The 27,184-nt window shown below is 37.3% G+C and overlaps 1 long non-coding RNA gene across 5 annotated transcripts in view, besides 2 other annotated features; it reads left to right on the top strand.

Moving 5' to 3' along the window:
- Window positions 1-27,184, top strand: part of LINC01619 (long intergenic non-protein coding RNA 1619) — a 157,856-nt gene that overhangs the window by 9,567 nt on the left and 121,105 nt on the right. The window lies entirely within an intron of this gene.
- Window positions 598-667: an enhancer, noted in NCBI's record as "active region_6719". NCBI's record gives its function as "activates an Ori minimal core promoter by ATAC-STARR-seq in GM12878 lymphoblastoid cells {active_cell/tissue: GM12878}" and the evidence as "EXISTENCE:reporter gene assay evidence [ECO:0000049][PMID:35858748]".
- Window positions 25,017-25,555: an enhancer, noted in NCBI's record as "NANOG-H3K27ac-H3K4me1 hESC enhancer chr12:92501486-92502024 (GRCh37/hg19 assembly coordinates)". NCBI's record gives its function as "activates a minimal SCP1, AML or CMV promoter by ChIP-STARR-seq in primed H9 embryonic stem cells {active_cell/tissue: H9 hESC(primed)}" and the evidence as "EXISTENCE:reporter gene assay evidence [ECO:0000049][PMID:30033119]".

Raw genomic sequence — 27,184 nt, 5'->3', positions numbered from 1 at the left:
CTGGGGAAAGAACATTCCATTCAAACAGTTGAGTGAATTCCAAAATCCTTTGAGACTTATCTCTCCCCAAATATATAATTATAATTTGGCATTCTTGGGTACTCTATTATAATGTCAACCAACCTGATTTTTGGCAGTTATTTTCCTGACCACTTTTTATTTGTTTTCTGGTTATTGCATGCCATAGGAGTCACCACAACTTTGATTTCTGGAAAATTCAGCAGAGTTTCCGCCCTGTCCCCACACACCTTCTTCTCCCTTTTAGAGATAATTGCAAATCATAATAAACAGGCTTATAAGAAGACCTGAACTTCAAAATATAAGTCTGATTTTTTAAAAAAACTGTATATCAATAAATATAGAATAAGAATTGATGTTCAGTATAATGAACAGGTTCAGCAAGGCACTCAATGTTTTGGCAGGACATATGGCTAGGCAAGCTAACAGACAAGTGTTGAAAACAAAAAGTTTTCTTGTTGATATATAAATACCTGGGAAATTCAGTTATCTCAAACACCTATTCCTTACCAAATCTGAGATTACAGTACAAAGACTTGTTATCATTTAGAGCCCCTGGTCTTTTGTATATATGACTGAAGAGAAAAGCAAGGGTACATTAACTTTATCATTCAGTCACTTAAACAGCATGGAACACTTAACTTTTTTTAAGGTGCTGGCAAGTATCTGGCCTATTCCTGCATTACAGAAAGTCCCTGGTGTTAAGACATAAAAATGAATATTTCTCTGGTTTCACTTTCCTTATCAAAGATGGATGAAAAGGTACTTTCTCAAATACATTTCACCATGAATTCTACCCCACCCATGCTCCCCAGCCTGAGAAGTAAGAATGTCGCCTTCCATTTTGAAATTTGCTGTAGCTATCTAGTCTAAGTTGTCTTCCTTTTGCTGCATAAAAATTGAATACTTTTGGCATGTTAATGTTGGGTCCATATCACTATCAGATATGATTCTCTCCCACTCTTGAGAGTCTTAGCAAAGCTAAAAAGGAGGCAGAAATCTCTGGGTTTAAGAAAGAATCCCTGTCAAAGCTCCCAATTAAAAATAACCAGATAATTCTGGCCACTTGATTAAAAATGGTGGGATAAGCTTGTGGGGGAAAGAGGAATGGAATGAATGAGAAAAAAAAAGTAAGGAACTATGCTTTGAAAAGCAATAGTGATATTATGTGAGGTTTCATGCAGATCTAGAAATTTTATCCAAAGCAAACATTTACCACAGGTGCCATGACACCTTTTTTTTCTTTTTAAGTCATATAAATAGATTCTTCAACTGCCAAACTTGTTCTTGTAAATGCTAAACTGTCTTGTCTAATTATCTCAAAATTATCTTCAGCACCAATATATCTATTTTTCTAGTGATAACAGACCCACAACCAAAAATTCCCTAATGTTAAATTTGGGAACACAAGTAAAATAACCATGTTAATTTGAAACTGGGTACCATGGATACGGATAGTGATTATAGCCTTGTGAATCTGCTAATAATTTGTTGTAATAATCTATGGCATCTCTCCCAGAAGATCTCTCAGATTCATCAATGCAGATCAAAGTTTGTCCTTTATCAAAATGCTGGCTATGATTCTTTGGCTCTGAAAGGTATTTTTGCCCTTCTCTTTTCATGAGAAAAGTCCTACCTTCATTTCTTAATGAGTATCCCTTTGTTTTTATTCTTCCCACCTACTCACACTGAACTTGTCAACTTAGATAGGAAAATACTCTGCCGTGTAGAATGAAATTAAAACATCCAAATGTGTAGTTGGACAAAGTTATTTTTAACCTTAGTCATTTAGTGTAACACTTTATGTTAGGCAATCAAGTTACGATAAAGGTAATTGAAATGAGGTTGCTTAGTAGCCTATTTCATAGCTCAAGGTTTTTAGGGTATTGTTGAGTAAAAATATATTTCAATACCTTGAGTACAGATCTCTGGTCTAATATAGTTTGTTTTTTCAGTGGGAACTTTCACTAGAAATTTATTTCAAGGGAACAAAATAGAGTCTTGTGTGTATGTGTGTGGGTGTGTTACATATGTGCTTGCTGCGAGAGTAGGACGGGCAGAGTTAGCACTGGAAGGAAGAAAGTAAAATTCAAGAAATGGTGCAAAAGGAAGATTTCTGCATACATTTGTGAGTCATATGTATATGCCTTTGCCCTTCTTAAATTAGTGTAGAGAAAGTAATGTGCCGAATAGTTTTTTTTTCATGTCGTTGGTTGTTTTTTTTTTTTTCAGTTTTTAAATTTTTTCTTCTTGCAAGACTCACAGTGCAAGGTTGGCTGTTTATTTTATTTTACTTGAGATGGAGTCTCACTTTGTCGCCCAGGCTCGAGTGCAGTAATGCAATCACAGCTCACTGCAGTCTCGACCTCCCTAGGCTCAGGTGATCCTCCCACCTCAGTTTTTGTATTTTTAGTACAGACAGGGTTTTGCCATGTTGCCCAGACTGGTCTCAAACTCATGGGCTCAAGCAATCTGCCTGCCTCAGCCTCCCAAAGTGCTAGGATTGCAGGCGTGAGCCACTACACCTGGCCTAGGTTAGTTTTTTAAAAGATATGGTTTATTTTGATGTCTGGCCACTGATTTTTATAAAGTTACAAAGAGAAAAAAAATACTTCTTTTACTACCATCTATCAGTGCACCAGAAAAGAATGCCCTTGTGTTCATGACATGCAAAGCCTTTTTTTATTTTTAATTTAAACTAAAGCACCTACAAAATTTATGAACCAAGAGGGTAGAGTTTTCATAAGCTTCTCAAATCACCAACATTTAGGGAGTGCCTACTGTGTGCAGGGGCTCTCACTGGCATTGAGTGCTCTCTTCATGTTGGGAACATGAAATATACAAGGGAGGCAGATTGACAAGGCCTCAGCTGTGCATTGGTGGTAAAGTGCCGCATGCCACATCATTTAAAAAGGATGAAGTATTATAGCAAGTTGAGACTCAGGTTACAGAAAGAAGGGGTGATGTTAAAATCCCACCTTTGACCTTAGACCTAGATCAAATACCCATCTGTTAATGTAATACTGTAGAGCACTCATGATCAGACAAGCTGCCCCGATTTGAAGGCCGGAAGATACAGAATCTACTGTGCCCTTGCAGGTCTCTGATTTATGTGGGGTTGATATTTTGGGGTGTTAGTTTGACCACCAGGTTCAAGTTTAACCATTAGGATTTCAAATGAAAAACACAAACGATGAGTCTCAGCCTTTTTCTTGATTTGATAGGCATTGTACAAACAGTCACAAACCACATAGTCCCATGGACATTTCAGGGTTACATGTAATTCCAGGTATACTCATTGCGGCTACTCATTTTCTTCCCTGGGGAAAGCACATTAGAATATGGGAGGGTAAAGGTAAGAGTGCTGAGAGCTCTATACGTATGCATGCAAAAGGTTACCTCCATTTCAACCAGGGTCACCCTGTACCTCCAGAGATGCATTGATCAACCCCCATTTTTCTGGCCTGATAAAGTCCAATGTCTTTCTCAAGTTTTTGCACCTTCCCAGGTGGCACATCCTCTCTTCTGACCTCTGGCCTTGGACCCAATCCAGCAGCTGCTGGATTAGGTCAGTTTGGTGACCATTTTATCAGCCTCCTTGGACTGTCCTTTTTGCCTACTATGTAGATGTGAAGCTTCGTCTCATCTTTCTACTGCAAACATTCACTTAAAGAAGCCATCTCTGGGGAAGGTGTGAGATGACAACAGAGACTTACACTGAAACAACATCGATGTCTTGAATTGTTAGGATTTTTTTTTTTGAGACAGGGTCTCACTCTATCGCCAGGCTGGAGTGCAGTGGCGCGATCTCAGCTCACTGCAACTTCCAACTCCTGGGTTCAAGCAATTCTTCTGCTTCAGCCTCCCGAGTGACTGGGACTACAGGCGTGTGCCACCACACCCAGCTAATTTTTTGTATTTTTAGTAGAGACGGGGTTTCACCGTGTTAGCCAGGATGGTCTTCATCTTCTGACCTTGTGATCCACCTACCTCTGCCTCCCAAAGTGCTAAGATTACAGGTGCGAGCCACCACGCCCAGCCAAATTGTTAGGATTTTTTAATGCTTTGGTGATTTGTGGATCCAGGCTCAGGTCCTTTGTTCCTTACCCTCCCAACTTCCCCTCTCCTTTTTATCCCATCGCCCCTTCCTTCTCCCTTCCCCCTCCCTCCATGCAGTCTTCTCTCTCCTCCCCTCCTTTCCCTTCCCTTCTCTTTGTGTCTCAGTAGACCAAAGCGGATGTTGCCTCTCTCTGCTATTAGGGAAGGAAAAACAGTGTTTTTTCTTTCTTTCTGCAGTCCTTTTTTTGTGGGTAAGGTTGCAGAGAAAGATAAAATAATGAAGAACAGAGAAGACAGATGAAGTCTTCAGGATAGGCAGAAAGACTAGGGAAAAGAACCCTGCATTTGCTTAGACACCGAGAGAGAGAGCCAGAGGGCCAGGAGATCTAGGCACAGGTTCTGGAATCAAACATTTCCTGGTTGGATCCCAGTTCAAACACTGGCAGTAGTGCCAAGAGGCAAAGCACTTCATCCATTTTGACTCCCAGTTCCTTTGCCTTTAAAATGGAGTCATAATATATTCATTCTTCAACTCCAGATTTCAAACTCTGAAAAGAGATTTTAAAAAATCTAGGGTTGCAAAAACATTTTTGGCAGTAAAACTTGAGGTCCCCCAATGTGACCCTATTTAATGTGGTCTTCAACCTACTTTAATGTCTATCCACACATTTTACTGCAGGAAGATTAATGCATTTGAATTCCAGCTCCCATGGGAGATGATTTATGCTATAGGAACATGCTCCATATTGTCTTTCTAAAATCCAAAAAATGCTCAATTCCAGAAATACAACTGGCCCTAAGGGCTTTGGATAAGGATATCCACCTCAGAGGGTATTTGGAATCCTGAATGGGGTAATAGATGTAGGACGAGGCCCTTAGTAAGTGTTGGCTGCTGTGACCATCATGGTACTGTGGTCTTGAACACGTGCAAGTATGTCCGTCTCCAGGAGTAGCCGTGAAACTTTGTGATAGTTGTAGGATGCACACAATACCCTGTCAGTTACACATAGGCTTCTTTTATATCTGTGGTTTATATCTGTCTTGAGTATTGAAGTTGGTTCTGATTTTCTTTTTAGATGTCTCCTCATTGCCCTCTTAACTCCACTTTTTTATTTTTATTTTTTTTTGAGACAGGATCTTGCTCAATAGCCCAACCTGGAGGGCAGTGACATAATCTCAGCTCACTGCAACTTCCGCCTCCTGGATTCCAGCAATTCTCTTGCCTCAGCCTCCCAAGTAGCTGGGATTACAGGCGTGCACCGCCACCCCTGGCTAATTTTTGTATTTTTAGTAGAGATGGGTTTTCGCCATGTTGGCCAGGCTGGTCTCAAACTCCTCGCCTCAAGTGGTCCACCCGCCTTGGCCTCTCAAAGTGCTGGGATTACAGGTGTGAGCCACCATGTCTGGCCTTAAATCCACTTTGTTAACTAAGGAAAAATAGTATTATTTTCCTCACTATTCCAACTAAGGAAAGGAAAAATAGTATTATTTTCCTCACTATTCCTCTGCTCCTCTCCTTCCATCCTCCCTCCTCTTCTCCCCAGCGCTCTCTGTACCGTGTGTGTGTGTGTGTGTGTGTGTGTGTGTGTGTGTGTGTGTGTCTCAAAAGCCCTTTCCAAGCCGGGCGTGGTGGCTCACGCCTGTAATCCCAGCACTTTGGGAGGCCGAGGCGGGCGGATCACGAGGTCAGGAGATCGAGACCCTCCTAACATGGTGAAACCCCATCTCTACTAAAAATACAAAAAAAAAAAAAAATTAGTTGGGTGCTGTGGCAGATGTCTGTAGTCCCAGCTACTCGGGAGGCTGAGGCAGGAGAATGGTGTGAACCCGGGAGATGGAGTTTGCAGTGAGCTGAGATCGCACCATTGCACTCCAGCCTGGGTGACAGAGCGAGACCCCCTCTCCAAAAAAAAAAAAAAAAAAAGCCCTTTTCCTCTGATCTCAGGGAACTAGAGAGCTGGTTACTTTGGAGGCTGCAGGGCTTTTCTCTGAGAGTAGTGATTACTAGTTAAAAGATGCTAAATGTGAAACAGTTATTTCTTAGGGGCCAGGTGCTAAGAACTTCTCAACAGGGACAACTTAGTGAGGGAAATGGAAAATGAATACACACGATATAAAACTTTGGCTATAAATACAAGATGATTTGGGGGGTGGGAGCGAATGGCATTTTGTTTGGTGTTTTCTCCATTGTAAGTCCTGTTGCCTGAGGTAAGGTAAAATTCTTTTTCCTAACATAAATTTAGGAAGTTGAGTATGAAGAAGAATAAATGGGTCTAGGCTGGAAGAACTTGATTGATTGAAATAAAAAAATTAAAGGCTTTTTGTCCCACAGTGATAATCAAAACATCCTTCTATTATTTAAAAAACAAATCTTGATGTCTAGTATAAAAAAAAAAAAAGAACAAACTGGCTGCAAGTTGTGAATTCATTTTGCCTGTCTGTGCCAGTTTTCCAAACTGGCAGAAGGGAGACTTTATTTCTGAGTATGTACTCCATTAAATATTTCAAGTTGTTAGAAGTATTCTTGGTTTTTGTTGTGTTTTATTTTGATGTTAAGATGGGTTCTCAGACCCTAGCCTAAGATCTGGATTTCTGTGTTGTCTTCATGACAAAAAAAAAAAAACAAAAAAAAACCAAAGACAACAAATGGAATAAACCATTGTAAGTAAAAAGGAGATGTAAACAGAGCACTGAGAACCTTACTTTTTTTTTTTTTTTGAGACAGAGTCTCGCTCTGTCGCCCAGGCTGGAGTGCAGTGGGGCAATCTTGGCTCACTGCAAGCTCTGCCTCCCGGGTTCATGCCATTCTCCTGCCTCAGCCTCCCGAGTAGCTGAGACTACAGGTGCCCACCACCACGCCTAGCTAATTTTTTTGTATTTTTAGTAGAGACGGGGTTTCACTGTGTTAGCCAGGATGGTCTCGATCCCCTGACCTTGTGATCCGCCCGCCTCAGTCTCCCAAAGTGCTGGGATTACAGGCATGACGCACCGCACCCGGCCGAGAACCTTACTTTTAATACAATTTTATGTTTACTTTGTCTACTCAGCCACTAGTCGGTTCTTGCTGACGTTATTTCAAAGGCTGAAGAAATAAATTTGTCTTGCCCACAATTACTATGATTCTTTGTTTTTGTTTTTTTAATAGAATCCACACTTTCCTCTTTATTTGTAATGGGTTTCTTGGTTCTACATGACACACAGCACCCCTTCCCAATCATGTTGCCTCAAGAAAGAAATAGAGAATATGTAGAAAATTAAAGCACTTACATTTGGAGTTGAAAGAAAAGAAGGCAATTGCAAAAGATCTCTCCTTATTCTGTAATGGAAGAGTGCAAATAAGCACATTTTTCCTGTCCTTCTCTAAGATGCTCCTGGCCCACACAATGCGCTTGAGAATAAATCAGTAATTCTCTATCATCAGCACTGCATTTACTCAGTCTCTAGGTATGGCACCTCAACAATGAGCAAAGTCTGAGCTTCCTCTCAAACAAAATTGAATTTAATACGTTTTTGTCTCTAAGATTCCTTTCTGAATTTTGAATTTCTTCTTTTTTTCAATCTGGTTGTTTTAATTTTGATTTTAGTTTGAAGGTAAATGTGGCTCCTGTGTCTTCTCTCTTATACCCAAAACATGTACATGGTAACTTTCTGAAGAACATGGGAAAAAATGGCTCCTTGTTGAGGGATGTGTTCAATAGAAAAAGAAGCCTGGACATGGAAAGATTCTATAAATGAAAGGATCTGGAGGATCTCTTTAAAGGAGCCTGTGAGGTTTTTAAACTTTATTTTAAGCTATTGTGAGCCTATGTTAGCCAGTCCAGGAACATTCATTGTAACTAAACCTCTTTTCCTTTTTTTTTTAAATTTGTTTTAATTCCCTTTTTATTTCTTCCTTCTTTTTCTTTTGGAGATGGAGTCTCACTCTGTCTCCCAGGCTGGAGTGCGGTGGCACGATTTTCACTCACTGCAATCTCTGCCTCCCAGGCTCAAGCATTCCTCCAGCCTCAGCCTCTTGAATAGCTGGGACTACAGGTGTCACCACCATGCCCCAGCTAATTTTATGTATTTTTGGTAGAGACAGTTGCCCAGGCTGTCCTTGAACTCCTGAACTCAAGCAATCCTCCTGCCATGGCTTCCCAAATTGCTGAGATTATAGGTGTGAACCACCACGCCTGACCCCTTTCCTTTCTTTTTAAATAGGCAATCAATATCTGATTTTATGAATGTCTGCCATTGTGCATGATTCAGCTAAGTAAGCCCTAATGAGAATTCAAAGGTTATGACGACTTAGTCATAGGAGTCTATAATCTAATGCAGAAAAGAGATTTACAAAGCATAACAAGGCAGTGTTTTATGTTATGATATAGGTACGGTGAAATGAGTTTAGGGAAGGAAGCCGGGGAAGGCTTCGTAGTAAAAGTGGCATTTAGTAGAACTCATGACGAGCTGAGGGATGCCAATAGTGAAAAGGCAATGATGTCAAGACTGTAAAGCTAAGGCTGTTTAGTGAATAGAGTATTCCAGTTTACCTAGAGTACAAGTTATGTGTGTAAGTAAGGCCTTGTCCTAAAAAAAAAAAAAAAAAATCAGTCTAGTGAGGAAAAAATGTAAATAAACAAATGAATGAGTACATTTTGCATTCTGAGTTATGCAGAAAGTGCTTTGCAACATAGAGGAAAAAGCCCTAACTGTTGTGGTGGTTGAGAGTTGATTGGAAAGCCTCATGGCAGGCTGAGTCTTGATAGAGCAGTACTTTGCCCAGTGGAAATAAGAAGAAAGCATATAGAAGTTCTCCTTATCCTTTGGACTTGCAATACACACAAAACTTTCTGGGGCTTTCTAAGGAAATTTTATTTCAAGATTCTGCTAGGCAATAACTCTCCTTCCTTAAATTGAAGGGTAAGGACTCTAAGTTCTGCTTTTTCTTTTCTCACTGAATTTGCTTAGGTTTTTTTTTCGTTTTTGTTTGTTTTTTTTTTTTTCACCTTTCTCACTGGTATTGATCACTTTCTCTTCCTTAGTAAAGCTCCATTTGCTTCTCTCCTAACCTGGACATTATAGGAAGCACTGATGCTGTATTAAAATTTAGAGAAAGCTCCCAGTCTGTCTTTCCCAACATCCCTTCAGTTTCAATAAGCAAAAAAAAAAAAAAAAATAGTTGTTATACAAGCATGGCAGCTGCCCTGCTGCTTTCTGTATGGTAGAGCAATATGTCCTCATGTTTGCATCAGGAAATGATGTTTCAAGTTGAGGTTCTGAAGTTTGATTGCTCAATTCTGTCACTTGCTAAATGTTTAATCTCAGGTTACCCAATCTCCCTGTGCCTCAATTTCTTCCTCTATAAAATGAAAATACAGTCATGTGCTGCATAATGATGTTTTGGCCAACAATGAACTGTGTATACAACGGTTGTCCAAGAAGATTATAATACTGTATTTTACTATACCTTTTCTATATTTCTATATGTTCAGATGCACATGCTTACCATTGTGTGACAATCGCCTACAGTATTCAATACAGTAAGCTGCTGTACAGGTGTGTAGTCTTGCAACACTAGGCTATACCATGTAGCCTAGGTGTGTAGTGTAGTAGGCTATACCATCTAGGTTTGTGTAAGCACACTCTATGATGTTCACATAACAAGAAATCTCCTACTGATAAATTTCTCAGAATGTATTCCTGTCATTAAGTGATGCATGACTGTAATGTACCTTACAGGACCATTGTGAGAATTAAATGAGATAATCCACAGAGAGCACTTAGTGCTGTGGCTGGGATGTAGTCAACATTTTAATAAATATTAGCTATTAATTATTTTTAATTTTTTGCCCAGGCTATTCAGCCCTTTCATCCTTTGGATGCTGCATGAAGATAACCTATAGTAGTTAATTTTGTCAACCTGAACTGGGCCATGGGATGCCCAGATATTTAGTTAAACATTATTTCTGGGTGTGTCTGTGAGGCTGTTTCTGCAAGAGATTAACATTTGAATTGGTGGACTGAGTAAAGCAGATGGCCCTCCTCAGTGTGGGGAGACCTCACGTTGTTCTTCCGGCCCTCATCCAATCTGTTGAGGCCTGAATAGAACAAAAAGGCAGAGGAAAGTTGAATTCTAGATCTGCCTGACTGAGCTGGGACCCATCTTCTCCTGTCCTTGGTGCTCCTGTTTCTCATGCTTTTACACTCGGACTGGAATCTACACCATTGCCTCTCCACCTTTCAGGCCTTCAAACTGTACCCCCAGCTTTTCTGGGTCTCTAGCTTGTGGACTGGATCATGGGACTTCTCTCAGCCTCCATCATTAGGTGATCTAATTCTTTATAACAATTCTCTTTATACATATATGGGCTGGGTGCAGTGGCTCACACACTTTGGGAGGCCAAGGCAGGAGAGGCCAGAAGTTTGCAACCAGCCTGGGCAACATAGTGAAATATAATCCCCACTCTACTAAAAAAAACGAACAAACAAACAAAAACAACAACAACAACAACAAAAAATCTCTCTCTCTGTCTCTATATATAGTGAGAGAGATTGTGTGTACATTATATCTATATGTAATCTCTCTCTCTCTCTCTCTCTCTCTCTCTCTCTCTCTCTATATATATATATATATATATATATATATATTCTATTGGTTCTGTTTTTCTGGAGAGCCCTGACTAATGTGTGGTTTGCAGCCAGTAGCATTGGCATAATCTGGGAGCTTATTAGGAATGCATACTCTCAGGCCCTGCCCCTGTAATTTAAACAAGATCTCTAAATGAATCATATACATATTAGAACACACAATTCCCCTACTGTCTATGAAAATTCCATGTTTATAGTGATGCTTCATCAACTAGGGAACAGCCACAGTCTCATACTACATATTAAGAGGAACATCTGTCAGTTAAACAATGATCATTTCAGCAAAGACAGAGAGTTCACATAGATCTAGCCTCGTTTCAAATGATGAAGTTACTAGGAAATAAATTATAGTATTTTAAGGCCTATTCAAGAACTCTCAGAGACATTAGACTGGAGGGCCATATCTTTACTCTGAGTACACTTGCATACCCAAAAGTAAGGGAGGTGCAGGGGAAGAGAGACCTAATCAGGCACATTTTTATTTGCCTTGCTCTCAAAAAGAGAGCAGCCTACAAGGAAACTGGGTTGGGAGAGGGGTAGGGCTAGGAGTACCTAGGAGTCAAATATCTCCTGAGAAAAGCTGACCAAACAGAGATAAGTAAGAACTCTAATAACTACTAACAAAAGGTCTTTGAGCCAAGAGCCCTCACACTGCCCTGGCTTTCTATAGAGTTAACTTGTCACCTTGAGGAGGAGAAAGACTACAATTTCCTCATGGAATTGGCAGGAGTGAGAATCCATAAATTAATTGGGAAAGTGCCTGTAGGTAACATAACCATACCTGAACTTTAGCTACTCACCACCTATCTCTACCTTCTCTTCTGTCCTTAGTTACCCGAATTACTGAAAAAAATATTGCAACCACTAAGTGTCCAGCTTTCCAGCGTAAGTTGTAAGGAACAGTAATTTAAGGGGATCAGGTAAACATTGAACAGATATGATGGTAATCCACCAATGCTGTTGGGCAAATATCAGCACCAGATGAAACTGTGTCTAATAAAAGATGAATAAGAAGTAGGAAAAATGGGACTTCCCTGAAATTCATAAAGAAAAATATAATGAAAAAAATGATGTGTAAAAGAAAGACAAATAATACATATTCAGAAGAGAATTACTTAAGGAAATAAAAATAATAGACTAAATTTCCTTTGTCCTCTCAAAGGAATTAAAGCCATGGTGAATGGAAAGGAGAGCTGGCATGCTTAAGAAATGGAAGGGGAAAATATAAACAGTTTTGAACTGCTTTAGAAGGACCAGAATCAACACTGAAAACAAATCAGAGGTAAAGAGGGTAGGCATGAGAAGAAACCACAGAGAAGGCAGTGGAAAAATACAAGGCAATGGAAGAAATTAACTAGGAACTCAGATGTGGAGAGACAAGTTGGGAATGATTTGTGTACTGGGAGATGAAAAACTAAAATGAGCTGGAGCTAAATAATGCATCAATATTTTATAAATATACTGTTATCCAAAACAAAACAAAACAAATAGCAGAAGAAGGAATGCAAGTTTTTATCCTTTATGTAAAGTTTGAAAACATTTAAACATTTATATGTGTATAACATGAGACTATAAAGCAATGGTTGAGAATAATAAACTCCAAATTCAGGAAAGTGGCTATTTCAGGAGGTTGGAGAATGGAATCTAAAATGTGTACACAGTGAACTTCAACTTCATTGGTTATGTTTTATTATTTTAAGGTAAGGTAGTGGGAACATGGATGTTCATGGTATTATTATTTATGTCTCTTTGTTTTGTGCTGGTGAGGATGTGGGAGAGCAGGATTTCTCATACTTTGCAAATGACATTGTGAGCTCTACTAAATTATTCCTGGGGCTTAGTGGGCATTTTCAAAATTTATATTCAGGACTTCCTTTATTCAGAAAAATTTTCTTCTATTATATCTTAAATTTTTATATTATAACATATTTAATTTTTATGACAATGTTTAACAAAAAGCTTTTGAAATTCTAATTGTAGTTGTATTAACTTATGTTATTACTTGGTAGGATTAACATTTTAATAATACCAAGTCATTTCATTTAGGAAAACTGTATAGGTTTACATTCATTCATATCTTAATTACATAAAACATATTTTTTGTAGGTTTTTCTTGTTAAATATATTCTAGATACTTTTTACAGTATATCCCTATCGTAAATAAGATAATTGCATATGTCTTTTTCTAAATCTATAATATTAATATAAAGAAAGTGATTAGTTTGTCTATATTTTTCTCACATATCGATACTTTGCCAGGTTTTCCTATTAGTCTTAATAGTTTTGTAGTTGCATCTCCTGGGTTTTCTAAGCACACAGTCTAAAACCTACAAATAAACATAATTTATCTTTTTATGTAAAAATGTTTATTTAGTTTTCTTACCGTATTGCATTATTCATATCCTCCAAAATAATTTTGAAAAAAAAATTGTGGTAAGAAGAATTTGTGATTTGATTCTGATTTTAGTGGCATTGGCTTTAAAATTTTACCATTTATAACATGTTTGTTGCTGTTTTTATTAAAAGTTACTTAATATATGAGGAGACTTCAAAGTGTTTTTGAAAAATGGAGTTAAAAGATAAAAGTAAAAAAAACATAGACTTTACTTCTTAACATAAGCTCCATCAAACTCAAGACAATTTTGTAAATGATGAGTCCACTCATAGAGAACTGAGGGTCCTGGGAATTTAATCATGTGAATGAAGTCTTTTTTTACGTTGTTAACTGAAGATAAATGGGTGCCCTTTACAGATTTTTCAAGATTAGGAAGCAAAATGAAGTCAAACGAATGGAGCCAAATCAGGACTGTAAGGTGGATGCCTAATGATTTCTCATTGAAACTCACAAAATTGCCCATGTTTGATGACACAAACAAGCAGGAACTCTGTCATGGTGGAGAGGAACTCTCTGGTGAAGATTTCCTGGATGTTTTTCTGCTAAAGCTCTGGCTAACTTTCTCAAAACACTCTCAAAATAAGCAGATATTGTTGTTCTTTGGCCTTCCAGAAAATGAAGCAAAATGACTTGAGCATCCAAAAAAATTGTTGCCATGACCTTTGCTTTTGACTGTTCCACATTGACTTTCACTGGACCACTTCCACTTCCTGGTAGCCATTACTTTGATTGTGCTTTGTCTTCAGGATCATACTGGTAGAGCAATGTTTTCTCTCCTGTTACAATTCTTTGAAGAAATTCTTTAAAATCTTTATCCCACGTGTTCAAAATTTCCATTGAAAACTCTGCTTTTGTCTGTAGCTGATCTGGGTGCAAAGGTTTTGGCACCCATGGAATGGAAAGTTGCTCAACTTCAAGTTTTCAGTCAAAATTTTGTAAGCTGAACCAACTGAGATGTCAATAGTGTAGGGTATTTTTTCTGCTGTTAATCGTTAGTTCTCTTCAATTAGGGCATGAACAAGATGAATTTTGTCTGGCAAATTGATGTGGATAGTCTGCTGCTGTGGGTTTCATTGTCAACATTGTCTCATCTCCTTTTTTTTTTAGAGACAGAGTTTCACAGTATTGCCCAGGTTGCACTTGAACTTCTGGGTCAACCCATCCTCCCACCTCAGCCTCTTTAGTAGGTGGGACTACAGGCACACACCATCATGCTTGGCCTCATGCCTTCTTAAAATGAATTATCCATCTGTAAACTGCTGATTTCTTTGGGGCATTGTTTCCATAAGCTTTTTGTAAAGCATCAGTGATTTCACCACTCTTCTACCCAAGCTTCACCATAAATTTGATGTTTGTTCTTACTTCAATTTTAGCAGAATTCATGTTACTCTTATAGGGGCTTTTTTCAAACTGATGTTGTCCTTACATCTTAGAACAAGTTAGTACAAGTTTATTTTGGTGCAACAAAATTTTGAAATTCATGCATGGGTTTTTTTCATAATCTGCATTTTCCGTGAACTTTTTGGAGACCCCTAGTATTTAGATTTCTTTAAAAAAGTGTCAGAATAAAACCAGAAATAAGATTATTTAGATAAATGATGTGATAATATTTTTTATTTTATTCCGAGTGTTTATTTGGAATTTTTGGTGACATATTTACTTAAAATATATCTATATTCTGGCATCGAAAGATATATTTTTAAAAAATTTACTATAATAATTATAGTTTTCTGAAACATTTCTACTTGACCATGTTATGTTACTCTTTTCATGCCTGTATGTATTCAATATGTTGATATTTTATTTAGAACATTAGCACTTATATTTGTAAGTAAATTATTTTTCTTTTTTGTGTTTTTTAAAATTAGTAAGTTTGGATATTCTTGTGTTAACTTACTAGATCATCTTAATAGTTTTTAATCACCTTTGGGAATCCAGTGTATTTTGAATAAAATGGATAAAATAGGAATTACAAATATTTTCTTAATATTCAAATTTAATTGGTGCTGGAGTTCAGAAAGAAAAAGTTCAGATAGGTAGCACAATACAGTATCTGGTCATATTTGATTTTTTGAGGTTTGGGTGGTGAGTAGCAAGAGTTCAGAAACCAAAGGATCCGTTAAAATTTTCAGAATATATTCAGCTCTTAAGTTGTATGGTGAGAGCTGAGATAGAGGGAAATACTCCCTGAACTTTTATTTGCTATTTTGAAGGTTAAATTGAATTCTGCAATGAAACTTTCTGGGTCTAGATCCTTTCTTGGTCTATGGCTTTCATGATGCTCCAACTTCTTCTTTGGTTTCTTCATGTTTTCTTTGTATTCTAAGGTCAACTTTGATTATTAATACTTTCTAAAAAATAATCCAATTCCTTTAGACTTACAAATGTATTGATATTAATTTGCACTTAATTTTCCTCAGAAATTATTTTATAATTATTTTAATATATTCTGTATCTGTAGTTATATTTCTTTTTCCAATTTCAACGTTGTAATTATTTTTTCTTTCTCTCCATCTCTATTTTTTCATATTCTAAAAATCAATATGTCTAGAGTTTTATTTCATTGTTTTTAGTTCAGGGATCTAAGCTTTACTTATTTAACATTGCTATTATTTTTGTTTGCTGCTTCATTAATTTCAGCCTTTATTAATTTTCTTCTAATAACTTAACTTTTTTCAGTTATTATGGTTATTTTTAAGTATCCTAAGTTATATACTTCATAAATTAAACATTTTTAATAACATTTAAATCTATCTTTTTTCTTATACAACTTAAAAATTCTATTTTATTAGTCTTTATATGAAGATTTTCTAGATAATTTGTAATCTCAGTTTTGATTTTATCTTAAGATAAACTAGGTTTTTAGAAGACTAGTTCTCAATATTCAAGTATTTAACTTTTTTGGTCATTTTCTTACCTCGTTTTACTAGATAAAGGCTAATTAATATCTCTACTTTTAAAAATTTATTAAGGTGGGCATAAAACAAAAATTTATTAATTCAATACAAGTTGTTGAGGGCCTACAATGTTCAAAGCACTGTTCTCAGTGCAGAGGATACAGAAGTAAACAAAACAGGCAACTAAGTTTGCCTTATTCTTTTATGGAGCTTACATTTTCATGGAAGTGTATAGACAATAAACAAACAAAAATTAATCTTCATTTCTTTATAGTAATGCAATAAATAAAAAAATAAATCTTCGAAAATGGAATGTTGTCTGGTGACAAATACTATGGAGAAAAATTAAGCAGGCAGGAAGATGGGAGTGTTGTAATACTGTAGGGGGAGAGGTGATTAGTTGTAATTTTAAATGAGATCGTCAGGGAAGGTCTTACGGACATTTGGGTAAAGACCTAAAGGAAGTAAGAAAATGAGTTGTGAAGGTGTCTAGAGAAAGGGAATTGCAGGCAGATGGAACAGCAAGTGAGAATACTGAGAGGTAGAATAGAAAATACTGATAGGTGATTTCAAATTTAGGTTGGGTCAGAGAAGCTCTGTCTGAGAAATTGACTTTTTAGTTAAGATTGAGGAACTAGCACTTCAAGCAGCAGGAATAGCAAATTTTCATCAATCATACTAAAGGACAGACTGACGTACATTCCTTTTGTCTCTGTAGAAACTTATATAACAAAATGGTTGTTAAACAGACAATCAAAGATGTAGTCAAAAAATGCACTAAATAAGGTATGTTAGGCACTGAATTAATGCCTAACAGCAATGCTTCTTTTGATTTTGTGATGTTTGTGATTTTGCCAACTTTTTAAAATTTATAATTTTTGAGATGTCTTTTGTCATTCTAAATAAATACTCATTACACATTTTTCAGCCTAGTTTTAAAAACATAGTTTTATATGTTCCTTAAGATGTGCTTTCCACTCTCAAACTATGAAAATTTTAGGTCACAGGGATCTTGGATATATCCCTGAACAAAGTATATGCTGCAAGTCAAGTGGGGAAAGGGTTTCCAAGAGGAGGGATGATCAATGAATGTATTAAGTGATGCTAATAGGTCAAGTAGGGTAAGGCTGGAGAAGTGCTCAGGTGTAGCAACATACGGTCGTTAGTGATAGAGACAAGAGCAGTTTCTGCCAATGATGGCAGAAGAAGCCTGCTTGGAGTTAGTTCATGTGAGAATGAAAGAATTTGGGGTAGGGAGTGTGGACAATTCTGCTCTAAAGAGATAAAAAGAAATAGATGGTAGCTGAAAATGAGATGGAGTTAGGAGAGTTTTTCATTTTTTTAATGATAGGAGAAACATCATGTTCATATGAGAAAGAGGCAGTGGGTGGAAATTTGATGAGGAAAAGTAGAATTTTTTCCCTTTTTCTTTACATTGTATTACTTATGTTCTCTATATCCTTATTTATTTTTATCTATTTGACTTACTAAATTGTGATATAAAATTCCCAGGCTGGGTGCAATGACTCACACTTATAATCCTAGCACTTTGGGAGGCCAAGAGGAGAGGACTGCTTGAGCTCAGGAGTTTAAGACCAGCTTGGGCAACATAGTGAGACCCCGTCTCCATAAAAGGAATTAAGTTTTAATAAAACAATAATTAAGACAAATTAAAAAACTTAAATTCTGATATAAAATTCCCCATCATGACTGTGATTTTTTTAAAGGTTATACGTGTCTTTGTTACAGTTTTGTTTCATGTATTTTACTGCTGTAGATTTTGGTCTACAAGAATTCATGAATTATATTTTTAGATTTCATAATATGCCTCTTTTTCCTGCTTAATGATATTGATCTTGAATTCTTATCTGATTTTGATTTTGACATTTCTGCTTTCTGTTTGCATATATTTACGTGGTGTAATTTTCCATGTGCCTTTATTTTAAAACTTCCTTTGTCATTTGGTTTTAGGCATGTTTCTTGAATATAGTAATAAGCTGGTGTATCCATTAGGATAATTTGGGTTGCAAATAATGCACAAGGGTTTAAAAAATGAAGTGAGATATGTTTGCTTTTATAAAGTTCTAGGACAGATCTAGTCCAGGCATGGTTTGTGTGTTGTGACTTGATTTCTCTCTATTATTTCAGCTTTCATTTCCTGGTGTGTTGTGCAGCTTCTCTCGTGGCAGCAAAATGGCCACAGAGGTTTGATTCCAGGCCTTTCATGTGTTTACACCTTACAGTCCAGCAGAAGAAAGAGCTCCTCTTCTGAAAACCTTGAAAGCTCTTGAATCTTATGTCTAATCCCCCAACAAATCACTATGATGGCATGCCATACCACACTGAGTCTGGGTCTGTGCTACTTATCCTTGAACCAATCACTTTGGTGAGGGGATCGGTATTATGATAAATGGTTAGTTTATGTAAATTAAGGCTGAAGCCTAAAATTGAAGCTTGAGATTCATTCCCACTCAAGTTAATGTGCTATTATTCGAAGGAACAGAGTAAGTACTATAAATATTGGAAAGAAGTTAGCACATTTCTCACTGCTGGAAAACCATACAATTCCATATCTTCAAAAGCCAAATGGATCAACTCATAAAGTATATCAGAAATAATCAGAAATAAGTAAGATTATTTTTACAAGATTAATAATGGAAAAAATTCAATCATTTTTATATAAAAATAACCAATTAGAAAATATAATTAAAGGAACTATTTCATTTATTAGATATAAAATATACTGAAATAAATTTATTAAGAAACATGCACTATTTATATGAAAATACATGCAGTTTCACTGAGAGATCTAAGATGTTTCTAGCTAAAAGAGCTCAACATTATAAAGATATGTGTTCTCCTTAAATTTGTTTCTAAAATTATTGCAATCCTAATCAAAATCACAATGATTTTCTTTTTTGGGGAGGTAGATCTGGCTGGGGGAGGTAGATCTGGCTGTCAAGACAAAGGTTTTAAAGTCTATATGATAAAACTAATTATGCTAGGCTAGCCCCGAAAAACCAAACAGACAAGCCCAGGCATCATGGGCCTGTGTGAAAGAAAGAAGCTTTTGCTGACTGTATATATAAAACATAATATAATATAAAGCTATAGTAATTAAAAACAATGGAATACTGGTACAAAAATAAATAAATAGAACAGAACAGGAAATTCAGAAAAAAACCAAAGTAATATAAAAGTGGCTTAGCATATTAATGGAACTGGTTCTATGGTATTTATTTTAGACTTCAATAAGCCATGTGTCTAAAACAAATGAGTGTAATAATCTCTAAGGTAACAATAAAATGAAATAAAATAATGTATAGCTACCAAGTTAATAGAAGGTAAAAAATGGAATCATAAAAAAAGAAAGAAAAAATAATATAGACAGATAGTATAGATAAAAAGCAAATAGCAAAGTCATAGACCTAAGTGCATTAATAATAATTATATTAAAGTAAATGGGCTAAATCCTTAATGCAACTAAAAGACCAATACTGTCAGACTAGATTAAAATAAAAACAAACAAGAACTAACTGTATGTTGTTTATAAGAAAAATACCTAACATATACTGAAGAGGTTGAATATAAAAAGATGGAAAATTCTATCATGCAAAAACTAACCAAAAGAAAGCTGTGATGGCTGTATTATTAAAAGTAAGTTTATGAAAAGTGGAGAGGAAATAGTTAGTGGGAGGAGGAGAAGAGGGAGAGCAGGAAAACAGTATAAGTAATGCTTATGAGGTAGCCTGGCTCTCTATTGAGGAGGGGGGGGCAGAATAGAGGGTAAGTGGGCCAGTGAGTGTGTAGCCCGTGTGCTAGAAACTAGTGGGAGATGACATAGAATTGGAAAGATGGATCCAGATTAGGGAAAGCCTACAAATTCTGGATTTGGTCATGAATTTAATAAATGAGAATCTGGTGTATCTATCTTTAGTAGTAGTGAAAAATCAGAATTTAAAACTTGTTATTGTCAACACTATTAACAGCCTTTAGATGATTAGAAAAACTCTATTCCTTTATCTACTGTTAAAGTCTTCAATAAAACATCATATTTTCCTTGACCAGCCACATATAGTGTAGTGGTTGTTAATTGGGGATTTGCCTGGGTTCAAATTTTATCCTCTCATTGTGCATCCAGTTCTTCCTGGCTATATTCCATGGGCAGAAACTCTTAACCTCTATGTGTCTTTGTTTCTTTATCCATAAAATGGGAATAATAGAAGAACATAACTAATAGAGTTGTTGTGAGGATTAAACAAGTTAATGGCCGGGCCCGGTGGCTCACGCCTGTAATCCCAGCACTTTGGGAGGCCAAGGCTGGTGGACCACCTGAGATCAGGAGTTCGAGACCAGCCTGACCAATATGGAGAAACCCCGTCTCTACTAAAAATACAAAATTAGCCAGGCATAGTGGCACATGCCTGTAATCCCAGCTACTCTGGAGGCTGAGGCATGAGAATCGCTTGAACCTGGGAGGCAGAGGTTGTGGTGAGCCAAGATCATGCCATTGCACTCCAGCCTGGGCAACAAGAGCGAAACTCCATTTCAAAAAAAAAAAAAAAAGCAAAAACAAAAACAAAAAAATCAAGTTGATGTTCATGAAATATGAGAAAGTGGCTGGCTCAATGAATGGTTATTTTTATTATTATTATGACTATTACAAGTGATACTGTTTTGTTATTTATGTTAAATGCTGATTCAGTAAGCCTAAGGTCACCAAATGAACAATATAAAACAGTCTTTTTTTTTTTTCTTGCTGTGTTCTCAACTCTTGATTATGAACCAGGAGCTTAGTAATTTGTCATGGGTCTGGTCTTTCCTGCTTGAAATATATTTGCTAAAATCTGGCAAACAATAAAGGCCTCTTTAAGGCACTATAGTTGGCACTGGGAATATTCTTCAGGAAGACATAGGTTGTACACTCGAAGGAGCTCACAAACCTATGAATAAAGGATTCCCATGCAGTGGGATAGAACAAAATGGAGGAAGGACATATCTCAGCACATAGCATGAAGAATGAACTTTGAAAGCAGAGAAGAGGGAGAAGGATATTTTCTGGCTAAGAAGGCTTTACAATGGATAGGAGAGGAGCTGAACCTTAGAAGGAGAAGCAAGAGAGGATATTGTCGAGCTAAAGAACACCACGAGTGCAGAGGTAGAATGATGTGAAAGTACAGGCATGCTTGGGGACTGACAAATTGTCCATTGTGTCCAGTTCATCAGATGTACAAAATAGGAAGCAGCATTTAGGAAGGCTGGGGAAGTAGACCAGAATTAAGTTGTGACTATTTTTCTGGGGAATTTAGAATCATTCAGAATAATTTTAACGGCCAATCTTTTTTTTTTCTTTTCTTTTTTTTTTTTTTTTTGAGACAGGGCCTCACTCTGTCACCCAGGCTACAGTGCAGTGGCATGTTCATGGCTCACTGCAGCCTCTACTTCCTAGGTTCAAGCCATCCTCCCACCTCAGCCTCTTCAGTAGCTGGGACTACAGGCATGCACCACCACTCCTAACTAACGGCAAATCTATTATAGTAAACCTTCAAATAAAGTTATACTTAAGGTATGATTGTACTTTTTAGTTTGTGGAAGAAATTCAGTATGAATGTTCCCACACTAGTGAAATAAGTATTGATAGTAATTTAGGGTTTAGAAATAGAATCCTTCATTTTTAAATTAAGTATGTTATGATCAACTAAATATGAACTTGGACTTGCTGAACTATTTTCAGTATATGGTTAGCAAGCTATGACAATAATAACAGTGATAAAAATAATTAGCATGAGTAATAATAGTAATACCATCTAACACTTATTGACAGCTTTTTATGTGCCAGGAACTATTGTAGAATCTTTTAGTTTCACTTGTATATTTAGTCCTCACAATACCTCTGTGAGGCAGATGTTATTATTATGTATATCAGAAAACATTTTATAAACCAGTAAAAACAATATACCAATAATAATGGCAGAGTATTTTATGTTCTTTGTATGTACAATGGGACTCAACTGCTTATTTTTCTTTTATGCCTCTCTTTTCTCTAGTTTTACACTGTAGTCTAGAGAGACAGACAAAGATGAAAGAAATACACACACACGCACACAGAGAGAGAGAGAGAGAAATAGGGAAGATCTATAGGAAATTATTATGCCTAACTGATTGTAGTTTGAGTTTTGTTTTCCTTTTAAAAACTAATTTAGAGAGAAAAGAAGACAAATTCTATCATATAAGAATATTACTCTATCTCGTTGATTTTACTTAGTTTGAAACTGATAGGTGCTGAATTAAAAATTCTGGAAGATGTACTGAATTTCAAGCAGTCCGGGCATTTGTCTCCTGTATCTATCAAGTCAGACTCAAAGTAAGCACCATAGTATTTGTTGATCATTTCTCTCCCACTTACCACATTTGCCTCAAGCCAGTTACTAACTCCAGGTAGTCACTAACTTTCCCTTGGGAACACTTAACCTGGTTGTGAGTAAAAAAAGAATGAACATTTGAGATGTTGAAACAACTATCGGGAAGATGTCAATGAACAGCTCAAGACTGGAATTAATTCCACAGAGAAATGATGACTGAATAGTCAATTTAGAAAGTAAAAACTTGGACTTAAATTCCAAAATGAAAAAAAAAAAAAAAAACCTTGCAGAAGACAGGTGTTTGCTTAAAGTTCTTTCTAATCCCTAGCAACTGTGAGTCTAAGATTTTCACAAAATGAGAGGAAAGGAATTATGTGTAATTTTCTCATCTAAACTAGTCTCCTTTTGCCCACTCCTTTCCAAATTTCAGCTAAAATAGTTAGCATGTCAGCAAAATCCTGCAGTGAACATCTCTTCTGAACAATGAGAATGGGGAAACCACAGAGCCCCACTTTAAAATTACGCACCAACAAATCCAGAGTAATCAGAGGAAGCACTCAACAGATTAAATTAGACCTAATGTGGAATTTAAAACATGCCACAAGTAATTGATTTTTTTCTAGGATAATTTGAGGGCAAAGGCTTATTTGACTTAACACAATAGTGGGTCATTATTTTAACATTAATGTAAAGCAGGAAGAGTGAAGACCTTTACTACCCCCTTTATTTTAGTACCTTTCACTCTCTGTTGTAATTCTTAGTTTAAATGCCTGCCTCCACTCTTAGATTTTGAGTTCCATGAGAACAGGAATCTCTTCTTATTTACACTTGTAAAATTTATAAATGTTTGCCACAGTGTCTGGTCCATGGTAGGCAGTTACCTAATGCTTAGTGAGTGAATGCATGCCATAACAAGAGTAATATACATTAGTAGTTAAAAGGCCTGGGCTGAGTGCAGTGGCTTATGCCTGTAATCTCAGCAATTTGGGAGGCTGAGGTGGGCCGATCACTTGAGCTCAGGAGTTTGAGATCAGCCTGGGCAACATGGCGAAACCCTGTCTCTACAAACAGTACAAAAATTAGCCAGGCACGGTGGCATGCACCTGTGGTCCCACCTACTTGGGGGATGGAGGTGGGAGAATCATTTCAGCCTGGGAGGCGGAGGCTGTGGTGAACCTAGATCATGCCACTGCACTACAGCCTGGGTGACAGAGTGAGACCCTGTCTCAATAACTAACTAACTAACTAAATAAATAAATAAATAAGTCAGTCAGTCCTGGATTTGAATTCATGCTCTTTCATTAATTAAGTTACTTTGAGCAGTTGATTTAATGTTTCTTCTCAATTTAATGCTTCTTAATCTGCCGTTGAAATTTTCTTCCAGCAAATGTTTATTTCTATAGCAAGATTCACAGCATTTTGTAAAATGTGAAGCATTAAGCATGTTTTAAATGAATAATTCAAGTTTTAATATCTGATTGCCACATGTCGGAAAGCTGGCTATCATATACTCTTTTTTTCTCACACTGCCAAAAATTTCAGTTACACTCCATTCTGGCTTATTTTGTCTCTTTTTCACTGATTCTTAGGGAGGGAAAGGAGTGAAGAAAACAGTCATTGTATTGAGGATACTTAAGGTTGGAGAACTTTCTTCTTAATACTGGCTGCTAGGGGCTTTATTTCTTTGAATTCAATTTCCATGCCAACCTAAAATAGCAACTTAGTACATTTTCTTACACATGTTATAATTCTACTACAATTTATGACAGTGAAGAGAAAAACAGTGGAAGAAGAGAGATTCAGTTGGATTTTCTGGGAAAATTTCAGACCACAGGTTGGTTATTGGGTGACAGCTACTTATTTTTAAAACCATCTAGATTGTTATAACTGTGTGTAGATGACAATTGCCCTAGAAATGTTGTATGCTTTTGAAAAGCTTACATAATTGCTCATATGGCAATTGCAAAATCATCCCTTGACGCGAATTTACACCAGAGAAGAAAGTGTCTTACTTAAAATTTCAGTCTTTCCCTCCTGCAGAGAGGAGGCGGCCTGGTAGTGGAGAAGGGAGGGCTAGTAAGGAAGATAGGAAGAGGGGAGGAGTTTGTGCAATGAGCAGAAAAAAGTCACTGAAGAGTTTATAAACAGTCTCTGTACTGAGGAGATGACATTTGAAACTGTGGGAAAAAAAACCATAAACCCAATCATTTGTCCTGCTTTTATGGGGGAGATGATTATCCATTTGGCTTTTGTCCTTTTATGTTTTAAAGATTGTCAAAATAAAAACAACGTATTCATAGCATTTTATTTCCTAATTTGTCAGTTGAAAACTACCCAAAAAAACACTACAGAAGAGTTTATTCAGAATCTCTATTACCTGTCATTTCAGAATTTTTTTCTCCTTAATTTTAAAAGAGCAGTGAAGGTTTCAGTGAGAAATTTTCCACCAGAAACCAGTTTAGAAGTCTGTTATTTGGAGGATGCTTGGTGGTCTGTAATCTAAAATCTGAGACGATAAAGGATTTTTCAAAATAATCGAAAGCAGGGGATATGTAGGAGAAGATAATGATGTTACGTTATAAGAGACTTCTAGTTAGTAGATTTCAAAGCCAGCTACTTAATGTTTCCCCAAAAAGTCTGCAAAGATTAAGCCTTTAAGTCCCTTTCTCTTCCCGTGTGTGTGTATGTGTGTGCATGTGCGTGTGCTTGTGGATGCACATGCTAAACAATTAAACAAACAAAAAGACAAAACATCCTTTTTCCCAGGTCTCCTAGATATTTTTTCCCCAGGCAATTCCATGTGCAACCTTTGCTTTTGCCGGTTCAGGGCAGCTTGGCCCGGGTAAGACAATAGACATACAAGATAATAACAGGGCAGTTGCTCTGTGGCATTGTCCTTTATCAGGATTAACTGTTACACCAATAAGCAAAACAGTGTGGTGGGGTTTTTCCATCACTGGCCTTTGCTGTTCCTGGGTGCCAGATGGCATTATATCCATGAAAAAAAAAAAAGCTGCAAGTTATAATGTTGACCAGGCACTGTTACTTCCACTTGATCACACTGTTTGGGGCTCTCTTTGATGTACAAAACACTCCTAAGTTAATGAAATGCGTTGCAGCTGGCTAATGGCTGGGAAAGTGCAAACCCTGCATTGAACCCTTCCCATCAGACTATTCAATGGCTAGGTAATGTCAGGCCCGAGCTGGAGAAGGGGCAAACAGGCTCGTTGCCAGGCAGGCCCGGGACTCCTGGGCAAACGGCTGTGGAGGGGCTGGTATTTTTCTCCTTTCAATAGAAGTGGTCTGTGCCTGCAGCAAATGAGAAATAAATCCATCAAGGCCAAGCTCAGGCTTATTTTGCTGGCTGCTAGAATTTGCATAAGAGCCTTGTATATACAGGTAAACAAAGACTTCCTGGAATTACTAATGTGGAGGTGATCTGAGAACTGGGAACAAAGTAGGGCCTCATCTTATGCAAAAAAAAAAAAAAGTCTGAATTAAATTTGACTTTGCTGCTGCTGATCATTTCACTGGCCTGATTCACTGGGAAAGTAGAGCATGCATAATTGGATAGGGAGGCGTTTTCTCACCCCTCTCTCCCTTGCTGCTACGGGCCAACTCCATGGAGAGACACCTTGGGTGTGGACTCCTTTGGGGAGTCGTCCTGTCTTCTGTACCTCTCTCCCCCCACAACTCCACTATAATCCCAGCTGAATTGCTGGCACTAAAAGTGTGTTCACCATCTAGACCCCTCCTCCCCCACATTTTACCAGAAATATTCCGTGTTTAAAATGCTTCCCTGTTCTCAGTTTGCCCTTATCTATGTTAGAATATAAACTTGGGTCAGGATCTCTGCTTTTAGACAAGAGGTCAGCAAACTACAGGCCAGCCTGTGAACTAAATCCAGCTTGCCACCTGTTTTGTTTTGTTTTTTTCCTTCTTCTTATTTTATTTTATGTTTGAGCTAGAGTCTCCCTTTGTCACCCAGGTTGGAGTGCAGTGGTGCAAACATGGCTCGCTGCAGCCTCGACTTCCCAGGCTCAAGCAGTCCTCCTGCTTCAGCCTTCCGAGTAGCTAGGACTACAGGTCTGGGCCACCACACTCAGCTAATACATTTGATGTTCTGTAGAGACAGGGTCTCACTTTGTTGCCCAGGCTGGCCTCGAGAACTCCTGGACTCAAGCGATCCTTCCGCCTTGGTCTTCCAAAATGCTGGGATTCCAGGCATGAGCCACTGCGCCCAGCTGCCACCGTTTTTGTACAGCCAAAAGTTAAGGAGAGTTTTAATATTTTTAAATGACAGAAAAAAAATCAAAAGACTATTTTGTGGCATATGGTAATTCTGTGAAATGCAAAGGTCAGTGTCCAGGGGTGAAGCATTATTGGAACCCCAAGTCATTTGTGCATTCTCTACGACCACTTTTGTGCAACAGCTGTGGAGATGAGGAGTTGCTTCACAGCCCGAAGAGTAAATATTCGCTGGCCCTTTGCAGAAAAAGTTCCATCCCTGCTTTGAGCTTTTTGCCTGGCTTAAACCATCCTTTTTGACCATTTCTGAAGTCTGAGGATAAGTTGAGATGGGTGAGAAACTGTCCATAATCCCAAGGTTTCCATCACCTTTGTCTGAAAAACGTTGTCAGTGCTACCATTTCCTCTACACTTTCCCCTCTTTTTAGTTTAAAATGGAACGAATTTTTGAAGTTCTTTCTAAAGCTTCCTTTCTGTACTTGGCCTCTCCACAGTCAAATCCTATGCAGACCTTCAAACAAATACTTCAGGTTTAAAATGTTCCAGGGATGTCTGTGCACCCTGAGTGCAAATTTGAG

This window comes from Homo sapiens, chromosome 12 (assembly GCF_000001405.40).
Source record: "Homo sapiens chromosome 12, GRCh38.p14 Primary Assembly".
Taxonomy (NCBI): Eukaryota; Metazoa; Chordata; class Mammalia; order Primates; family Hominidae; genus Homo; species Homo sapiens.
This window is presented reverse-complemented; position numbering and strand designations above follow the sequence as displayed.